Source organism: Homo sapiens, chromosome 2 (genome assembly GCF_000001405.40).
Source record: "Homo sapiens chromosome 2, GRCh38.p14 Primary Assembly".
NCBI lineage: Eukaryota > Metazoa > Chordata > Mammalia > Primates > Hominidae > Homo > Homo sapiens.
In genome coordinates this window covers 206371686-206383188 of record NC_000002.12, presented here as the reverse complement: position 1 = coordinate 206383188, position 11503 = coordinate 206371686, and positions in this window count along the sequence as shown.

Below are 11503 nucleotides of genomic sequence, written 5' to 3'. Positions count from 1 at the left end.
CCATCTCAAAATTTTAAAAAGAAGAAAAAGAAAAAGAAATTTTTAAATAAAAAGAAAAGGAGGCCGGGTGCAGTGGCTCACGCCTGTAACCCCAGCACTTAGGAAGGCCGAGGTGGGCTGATTGCTTGAGCTCAAGAGTTTGAGACCAGCCTGGGCAACATGGCAAAACCCTATTTCTACAAAAAAATTACAAAAATTAGCTAGATGTGATAGTGCATGCCTATAGTCCCAGCTACTTGGGAGGCTAAGGTGGGAGGATTACTTGAGCCCAGGAGGCAGAGGTTGCAGTTAGCTGATACCTCGCCACTGCACTCCAGCCTAGGTGACAAAGTGAGACCCTGTCTTCCAAAAAAGAAAAAAGAAAAGGATTTATATTTACCCACATTATTTATCATTTCTGGTGTTCTTTATCCCATTGTGTAGATTCAGATTTCCCTGTGATATCATATTCCTTCTACCTGAAAACTTCCTTTAATATTTTAGCTCAGGTCTTTTGCTGATTAAGCTTTCAGCTTTTTATATCTGAAAAAAATATTTCACCTTTATCATGATTTCAATGGTTTTATTGAGATATAATTCAAATACCATACAATTCTCCCTTTTAAAATGTATATTTCAATATTTTTAGGATATACACAAGATTATGCATCCATTGCCACATTTCTGTTCTCCCTAAAGAAATCCTAACTTGCTTTATCTGTCACTTTCCATTTTCTCCTCCCACTTCCAGCCCTAAGCAACTATTAGTCCACTTTCTGTCACTACAGACTTGCCTATTCTGGATATTTCACATAAGTGGAATCATAAAATATCCAATCACCTTTTACTGTTTTTTTCACTTGCCGTAACATTTTCAGGGTTCATGCATGTTGTTGCTTGTATCAGTACTTCATTTCTTATTATTGCCAAGTAACTTTCCATTGTATGCGTATATCATATTTTACTTATTCATTTATCACATGATGAATATTTGAATTATTTTCACTTTTTAATCATTAGGAATGCTATGAACATTTGTATACAAGTTTTGTGTGAACATAAACCTAGGAATAAAATTGATACGTCATGGTAACTCTATGTTCAATACACCTCCACTGTATGACAAATATTTTTGCTGGCTGGAGAATGCTAAGTTGACAGTTTTTTTCTTTAAGTGTTTTAAAGTTGTTTCTACACTGTCTTCTAACATGCATTGTTTCCAGTTAGTAGTCTGTGATAATTCTAATCTTCATTCTTTTTTCCATATGTGTCTTTTTTCTCTGGTTGCTTTATTATTTTTCTCTTTATTACTAATTTGATTGTGATGTGACTTAGCATCATGCCTCTTATACTTGGCATTTACTAAGCTTCTTGAATCTGTGTGGTTTAGAGGTTTCATTAAACTTGGGAAAGTTTTAGCCATTATTTCTTTGATTTTTTTTTTCTGTTCCCACTTACTTCCTTTGGGAACTCCCATTATGTGTGTATTAGGCTGCTTAAACTTGCCCTAAACTCCCTGAAGCTGTATTCACTTTTATTGGTCTTTTTAATTTGTTTCCTTTTGAATAGTTTCTATTGCTCTGCCTTAAGTTCATTAATCTTTCCTTCTGAAGTGACTAATCTGCTGTTAATTCCATCCAATGTATTTTTTCTTTCAGGCATTGTAGTTTTATCTCTAGAAGTTTGATTTACAGTTAAAAAATATCTTTCATGTCCCTTTTTAACATACTCAGGCTATAATCTACCTTCTTGACCATAAGAAATATAATTACAATATCTGTTTTAATGTCCTTTAATTCTGTCATCTGTATTACTACTGAGTCTCTTTCTATTGATTACTTTTTTCATTATGGCTCATATTTCCTGCTTCTTAGCATATTTGGTAATATTTTTATTGGATCCCAGACATCATTAATTTTATCTCGTTAGGTACTGGATTTTTTTTTTCTATATTTTTGTAAATATTCTTGAGCTTTGTTCTTGGAATTAAATTACTTGGAAACAGTTTGATCCTTTGAGACCTGCTTTCATACTTGTTTTATACAGGATCAGAGCAGCTTTTAACCTAGGATTAATTTCATCCCACTGTTGGGACATTATCCTTCTGAATACACTATCTTACATCCACAAATTATGAGTTCTATCCACTCTGGCATGTGGGAATACAAACTCTTCCAAGCCCTATGTGAATCCCAATGGTTTTTCCTCCTAGAAAACTTGAATAGTTTCTTCACACACACACATGCTGTTCAGTACTTAGATGAAAACTCAAAGGGGATGCTCTTCAGATCTCCAGAGCCTTCTCTCTGTGCAGGCCTCTCTTCTTTGGTATTATGTCTCATGAACTCTAATAGCCATGATGTGCTTGAACTCACACTACCCCCTCCTAATACACTAGATGAAAAACCCGGTTCTTATTATTCTGTCTTGTCCAAAAGCAGAAGTCTCCTTAATGGTATTTGATAAGGAAAGAGGGAAGACGATAAACACTTTTAAAGAAGACAATGGAAGGGAAGAGAAGAAATGAAAGAGGAAGAATAAGAATTGTTTACATAATTTTACTAGCATTGGAGAAAGCTTATGACAGTGCTAATGTTTACAAAAACAAAATCATACATACAATATGGTCACAATTATGAAACAAAACAAAAATAAAAACAAACCTGGGCCAGGACTGAGAGAGACACTAACAACACTTGCCCTTGGGAATAGGATTGTTCTTATTTTTAGTTTTTCTATATTTTCCAAAGTTTTAGAAATAATAATTTTATAGCATTTTTATATTGAAGGAGAAAAAAATGCAACTGAGATAAACTGGATCCACCTTAAAATAAGAAGGGAAATAAGGAGAAGAAGAGAATAAAATACCCTAAATTTTGTGACAATTTTTTAGGTAGAAGGATTCTATGGGTTGTCATATTAAGATTAGAAATTCCACTTGGTTGACTTATTGAAATGTTACCACCACCACCACCGCCAAAATGTAGCCCTCAAGGATCCAAGAGACTTGTAATTCCAAATAAGTTGCTACACAATACTAAATAAGATTATCTTCTCACTTATACTGACCTAAAGACTCTCCAGTGATAGTCAGTAGCTAAAGATCTTCTGGCATCTGGCATGAATGCCAGAAATCTGGCTCTAGCTATCTAGATTCTTGACAATGTTTTGATAGCACAAATAAGTTTTCAGAGTGGAGGCTTAACTTCCGGTGGCATTTAAACGCTATACAATTCAAAGACAAAGAGGAAGTTATTTTAAACAGAGCAAGGAAGAACTAACAAATGTGTAGGGGTTGGTGCACACAAAAACCTGACTGTCTTTGCCAGACTTATATGTAGCATGTTCTCCACTATGCTTCTCTTACATCTTGTGGATATAAATTCAGTGTTTGCAGTATTTAAAAAGACGTCGTGTAAAGATCATTTATCTGAATGAACATAAAATAAGTCTTTCCCCCAAAATGCAAACATTTTGCCTCTTTGTTCATTGATTCCCCAGCAAAATTCAGTGTTTCTTCTTCTATGTAAACCTTGTATTTGCTATGGCTAACTCAGTTTTCTGCTTTCCTGTTCATACATATTAAAGGACTCAATGACATAATCGGCTTTGCTTTTCACTCAGTTGCTTAGGGCTTATAAAAATAAAACACAAATACCCACAGCTGTTCTAGGCAATCACTCAGCTCTTTGGAAAGAAAATACAGATACAGAGACAGGTGGTTCTGCTCTAAGCACAACATTCAAAATTAAGAGTGGAGAGACTGCAGCTGTGTTTCCAGGAGAAAACTAGCAAACTCCAAGACTTTCTATGCTAAATACAGTTGCATATGGACACCCAGGATCAAGGGAGTGGCCTGTCTTGAGTCTTGCTTCTCCAGAGGTTGACCAGGATATCCAAAGTCTTACTCTATGGGGATATTTCAAGATTTATGATTGCTCAGTGGCGGTGGTTCAGCAGTCCAGATAATGGAGAGCTGACAGCATGCCGACTGTCAGATTGTGAGGTTAGCAAAGAACACACAAGGAAGTCTACCTGCCCTTCTGTCAGCTAGTCTGATTGCAATAAGAAACGAGTGATACTGTCTGGTTCTAGTCTTAATATACTCACAGCATCCAGCCTAGCCAAAGCTTCTGACTGCTACCCAAAGAATGTGAGACCACAGAAGCTATGACTCCTGTTTCAAAACTGGCTGTCCTTGCTGCCTCCAGCTCCCTTCAGCTGCCCCTAGAGCCTGCCTTACAACTCCTTCAATCTCAGTACTACTGTACAACTGTTTTCAACTTCACGCACTTCTCTGATTTCAAACTTACCACTGAATTGGGTTCGGAGTCCCTATTCCATCTCTAGTCCCAGGAACCACAGTTCTTGCCAGATTAGCCTTCTCCCAAGTGGTGGGAGACTCAAATAGCAGCTTAAACCTCTATATGATTTTTCTACCCTATATCCCCATAAAGCTTTTCCATATCAATCCAGCCATTGATTTATGGGCTATATTGGCACTTATCAAACATTTTTACAGCAATCCATCTATCCCACTCATTCTAATTTTCAGCAGAAAACAGAATTTGAGAAGAATAATCAAGATTACAACGATACAAGAAAAAAATCGAACAAATGAAAAACCTAATGATGATTTTTTCATACGTTAATAAATATTATTATATGAATGAATACGAGCATAACAATAAAAGCCATTACCAATTCAAGTGAACACTGATAGTTGGGTGTGATGGCTTATGCTGTAATCCCAACACCTTGGGAATCCAAGGCAGGAGAATCACTTGAGGCCAGAAGTTCAAGACAAGTCTGGGCAACATAGTAAGGCCCAAAATAAAAAAATAAAGTTAAAAAAGAACATTGTAATCTGCTTTTATGACTTTTGGGGTTTTTTGAGTTGTTCTTTTTTTTTTTTTTTTTTTTTTTTGGTGGGGGGAACAGTTTCCCTCTGTCACCCAGGCTGGAGTGCAATACTGAGATCTCAGCTCACTGCAACCTCTGCCTCCTGGGCTTAAGCGATTCTCCTGCCTCAGGCTCCTGACTAGCTGGAATTATAGGCATGCGTCGTGATGCCCAGCCAATTTTTCTATTTTTAGCAGAGACGGGGTTTCACCATGTTGGCCAGGCTGGTCTCAAACTCCTGACCTCAAATGATCCACCTGCCTTGGTCTCCCAGAATGCTGGGATTACAGATGTGAGCCACCATGCTCGACTTGCTTTTATTAATTTGGTTTTTTCGTTTTGTTTTGTTTGAAACAGTTTCACTATGTTGCCTGGGCTAGTCTTGAACTTCTGGGCTCAAGCAACCCTTCCACCTCAGCCTAATGAGAATTACAGGCACGTGCCACCATGTTTGCTCTGCTTTTATAAATTTGAATAATTTTTTTTTTTTGAGACGGAGTCTCATTCTGCCGCCCAGGCTGGAGTGCAGTGGTGCAATCTCTGCTCACCGCAAGCTCCACCTCCCTGGTTCACACCATTCTCCTGCCTCACCCTCCCAAGTAGCTGGGACTACAGGCGGCTGCTGGCACGCCTGGCTAATTTTTTTTGTATTTTTTAGTAGAGACAGGGTTTCACTGTGTTAGCCAGGATGGTCTCGATCTCCTGACCTCATAATCCACCCACCTCAGCCTCCCAAAGTGCTGGGATTACAGGCGTGAGCCACCGCACCCAGCCAAATTTGTAGTAATTCTTAAGAGGAGAGAAGATTCTGGGAAGACAGCATAGTAGGAAGCACCATAAATCTGTCTCCTCAACTAGTAACAATTGCACTGGCAAAATCTGTCTGATATAAGATTTTTTGAACTCTGGCATCTATTAAAGGCTTGTAACTTCTAGGAAAAGGCACGGATGGTAAATTGAGGTTAATTTTGGTCAATTTCAGCTCTTATAACAGCAACAGCTACCCATCCCCCACCATGTAGTCCCACAGCAGACAGCTGTGTACATGTCCTGGAGAGCCTGCATGTAAACTGCAGAAGCCAGGATGAGCAAAAAGGATCATGTCTTCCAAATATCATGAGTCTGTGCTCTAATTGCTGATTGCTGCTTCTGATCACAGAGATGCAGAGAAAGTGGCAGGTGGCCATTGTTTTTGCACCTCCCCCCCGCATTATTGCAATCCTGTCTCCCATGACTGAAGTGACTTCCAGGGCACTTAAGGGGCTGCCATTTTAACAACACCACCACCACTTTATTTTTCTTTTTTTCCTTTTTTTAGGAGCCAGGCACTGAAGACTAGCACATTCAAAAGCAGCTGGATGTATGAGGGACATTAGAACATCACTGTACAAGCTCAGGGAAAGCCCAGGCTCAGAAAGGGCCTAAGAATACCCTTAAGTTCATGCTTCAGTCTGATCCTTGGCACAGAGATAGTGTTCAACAAACAACAAACAAAAACAAAATAAAAAAAAAACCAGCAAACTTTGAGGAAGGGAGAGAATCTGATTTCTAGAGTTAACATACCATTAGATTAAAATGTCAGATTTCCACAAAAAATCACAAGGCATATAAAGAAACAGGAATGCATGGCTCATTCAAAAGAAAAAACTAAACTGACAGAAACTGTTCTTAGAAAACACCTGATGGCAGATCTACTAGACAAAGGCTTTAAAACAACTGTCTTAAAGATGCTCAAAGAAGTAAAGGAAGACATGGAGAAAGTCAAGAAAATGGTATATAAACAAAATGGAAATATCAACAATGTGATAGAAAACCTAAACACAAACTGCAAAGAAATTCTGGAACTGAAGAGTACAATAACTGAAATGAAACATTCACTAGAAAGATTCAAATGCAGATTTGAGTATTTGAGCAGACAGAAGAAAGGATCAACAAACTCAACAAACTTGAAGATAGGATAATGGAAAGTACTGACTTGAGTAACACAAAGAAATAAGAGTGAGGAAAAATTAACAGAGCCTAATGGACCTGTGTGATATAATCAAGCTAACCAATATATGCATTGCATGGGTCACAGAAGGAGAACAGAGAGAAGGAGAAGAGAGGCTATTTGAAAAATAATGGCCAAGAACTTCTCAAAAGTAATGAAAGACATAAATATAAACATTCAAGAAGGTAAACTAACTCCAAGTAGGATTAACTCAAAGAGACCCATATTGAGACACATTACAATCAAACTGTTGAAAACCAAAAAAAGACAGAAAGCAGCAAGAGAGAAGCAACTTGTTATACACAAGGAATCCTCAATAAGATTTTCAGCAGATTTCTCATGAGAAAGTCTGGAGGCCAGCAGAAGTGGGATGATATATTTTAAGTGCTGAAAGAAAAAAACCTGTCAACCAAGAATCTTGTATCTGGCAAAACTGTCCTTCAAAAGTGAGGAAGAAATTAAGACATTTCAGATAAACAAAAACAGAAGGAGTTTATTACCACTAGAGCTGCCCTACAAGAAATGCTCCAGGGAGTCCTGCAGGATGAAATGAAGGGACACTAGATGGTAACTTGAAGTCATATGAAGAAATAAAGGTCTTAGTTGAGGTAAGTACGTGAGCATTATAGAAGCTAGTATTATTGTAACAATGGCTTGTAATTCCACTTTTTGTTTTCTGTATGACTTAAGAGATTAATACATTTTAAAAGCAATTATTAATCTAAAACCTGTAATTATTGTAACTTTGGTTTGAAACTCCACATTTTGTTTTCTACATAATTTAAGACATGCATTTTTTAAAGTATTTGTTTTTTATATTACAATGCATTATAATTGTATTATAATTGTTTATATAATACGATGTATTATGTGTTTTTATAATACGATGTATTATAAGTGTTTTTATAATACGATGTATTATAAGTGTTTTTATAATACGATGTATTATAAGTGTTTTTATAATACGATGTATTATAAGTGTTTTTATAATACGATGTATTATAAGTGTTTTTATAATACGATGTATTATAAGTGTTTTTATAATACGATGTATTATAAGTGTTTTTATAATACGATGTATTATAAGTGTTTTTATAATACGATGTATTATAAGTGTTTTTATAATACGATGTATTATAAGTGTTTTTATAATACGATGTATTATAAGTGTTTTTATAATACGATGTATTATAAGTGTTTTTATAATACGATGTATTATAAGTGTTTTTATAATACGATGTATTATAAGTGTTTTTATAATACGATGTATTATAAGTGTTTTTATAATACGATGTATTATAAGTGTTTTTATAATACGATGTATTATAAGTGTTTTTATAATACGATGTATTATAAGTGTTTTTATAATACGATGTATTATAAGTGTTTTTATAATACGATGTATTATAAGTGTTTTTATAATACGATGTATTATAAGTGTTTTTATAATACGATGTATTATAAGTGTTTTTATAATACGATGTATTATAAGTGTTTTTATAATACGATGTATTATAAGTGTTTTTATAATACGATGTATTATAAGTGTTTTTATAATACGATGTATTATAAGTGTTTTTATAATACGATGTATTATAAGTGTTTTTATAATACGATGTATTATAAGTGTTTTTATAATACGATGTATTATAAGTGTTTTTATAATACGATGTATTATAAGTGTTTTTATAATACAATGTATAAAGATATAATTTTGTGACATCAACAACAAAAAGAATAAGGATACAGATATAAAGGAGCAAAAATTTTGTATGTTATTGGGGTTAAACTGGAATATTCAAATTTGAGTGATATGCCTTGAAGATGTTAAATGTAACCCTTGATAACCAAAAGGAAATAGCTATAGAATATACACAAAATAAAAAGAGAAAGAAATTTAAACACTTCACTACAAACAGTCAACTAAACACAAAAGAAGATATGAGGAACAAAAATGTATAAGACAAATGGAAAACAAATAGCTAATTGATAGATGTCAGACCCTTCTCGTCAGTAATTACTTTAAATGTAAATGGATTATACTCTCCAAAGACAGATTGAAAGAATGCACTTAAAAAAAGATCCAACTATGTGCTATCTACAAGATACTCATTTTAGATCCAAAGACACAAACAGGTTGAAAATGGAAGGATAGAAAATAATATTCCATGAAAATAGTAACCAGAGGAGGGCAATGGAGGTTATGCTAATAACATACAAAATAGACTTTAAATAAAAAAAAGTTTACAAGAGACAAAGAAGGATATTATAATAAAAGGTTCGATACAGCAAAAGATAACAATTATAAACAGCTACATAACTAAGACCACCAAAACATATGAAGTAAAAATTGACAGAGTTGAACATTGATGAAATAAATTGAAGACAAAAATAAATGGAAAGATATCTCATGTTCATGCATTGGAAGAATTAATATTCTTAAAAAGTCCATGCTACCCAGAGCAACCTATAGATTTAATGCAATCCCTATTAAAATTCCAATGACATTTTTTGCAAAAATAGATAAAACAATTCAAAAATTTGTATGGAACCACAAAAAAAACCCTGAATAGCCAAATCAATCTCGAGCAAGAACAAAACTCCAGGCATCACACTACGTAATTTTGAAATATACTACATAGCTACAGTAATCAAAACAACATTGTACTGGTGCAAAAAACAGAAATAAAAACCAACAGAACAGAAGAGAGAGCCCAGAAATAAATCCATACATTTATGGTCAACAGATCTTCAACAAGGATGCTAGGAACACACAATGGGGGAAGAACAGGCTCTTGAATAAATGGTGTTGGAAAATTGTATATCTGCATGCAGAAGAGTGAAACTGGACCCATATCTCATACCTTATACAAGAATCAAGTCAAAATGGATTAAGGACTTAAACTTAATACCTGAAACTGTAAAACTACTAAAAGAAAACATAGGGGGAAAGCTTCTTGAAATTGGTCTGAGCAATGATTTTTTTTTGGATATGACCCCAAAATGACAGGCAACAAAAGAAGCAACAAAAGAAAAAAATAGACAAATGGGGTTACATTTTCACTTAAAGTCTTCTACACAGCAAGGAATACAATCAGTAGATGAAGGGACAACCTACAGAATGAGAGAAAGTATTTGCAAGCCATACATTTGATAAGGGGTTAATATCCGAAATATATAAGGAACTCAAACAACTCAACAGCAAATAAATAAATAAAACCCAATTTTGAAATGGGCAAAGGACCTTAATAGACATTTCTCAAAATAAGACATAAAAATTGCCAAATGTATTTGAAGAAAATGCTTAACATCATAAGTCATGAGGGAAATGCAAATTAAAATCACAATGAGATATCGTCTCACACCTGTTAGAATGGCTATGATCAAAAAGACAAAAGATAACAAGTGTTGGTGAGGATGTGGAGGGAAAGGAACCCTTGTACACTGTTAATGGGAATGTAAATTAGTATAGCCATTATGGAAAACAGAATGGAGTTTTCTCAAAAAAATAAAAAATAGAAGCCAGGCCCAGTGGCCTGTAATCCCAGCACTTTGGGAAGATGAGGAGGGCAGGTTTCTTGAGGTCAGGAGTTTGAGGCCAGCCTGGGCAACATGGTGAAACCCCATCTCTACTAAAAATACAAAAATTAGCCAGGCATGGTGGCAGGCGCCTGTAATCCCAGCTACTCAGGAGGCTGAGCCAAGAGAATCACTTGAACCTGGGAGGCGGAAGTTGCAGTGAGCTGAGATGTCACCACTGCACTCCAACCTGGGCAACAGAGTGAGACTCTGTCTCAAAAAAAAAGAAGAAATTAAAAATAGAATTACCATATGGTTCGTCAATCCAAGTTAGGGAAATATAATACATCCAAGGCAAACAAAAGCCTCATCTCATACAGTTATCTGCACTGCCATCTTCATTGCAGCATTTATTCTTTACAATAGCCAAAATATAGAAACAACTGTTGTTTGTCAACAGATGAATGGGTCACGAAAATATGTTGGGTATGTGTGTGTTTGTGTGTGTGTATGCCTATATATGTATATGTACATGTACATATATACGTATACATGTATATGTACATGTACATGTATACGTATACATGTATATGTACATGTACATGTATACGTATACATGTATATGTACATGTACATGTATACGTATACATGTATATGTACATATATGTATATATGTATATGTGCATATATGTGTATATACGTATATGCGCACATATATATGTATACGTACATATATGTATATGTACATGTGTATATATGTATATGTACACATGTGTATGTATGCATATGTACATATATGTGTGTACATATATGTGTGTATGTATGTATATGTGTGTGCATATATGATAGAATACTATTCAGACTTTAAAAGAGAAGGAAATCTTGTCATTTGCTACAATATAGATGAACCTGGCTTAGGCTAAGTGAAATAAGCCAAGCATAGACAAATACTCCATGATCTCACTTATATGTGGAATCTAAAAGAGTTTAACTCATAGGAGCAGAGAGTAGAATGGTGGTTGCCAGAGGCTGAGGGGAGGGGTGCCAGAGGAAAGGGAGGTGTTGGTCAAAGGATATAATGTTTCAGTTAGACAGGAGGAATACATCTAGTAC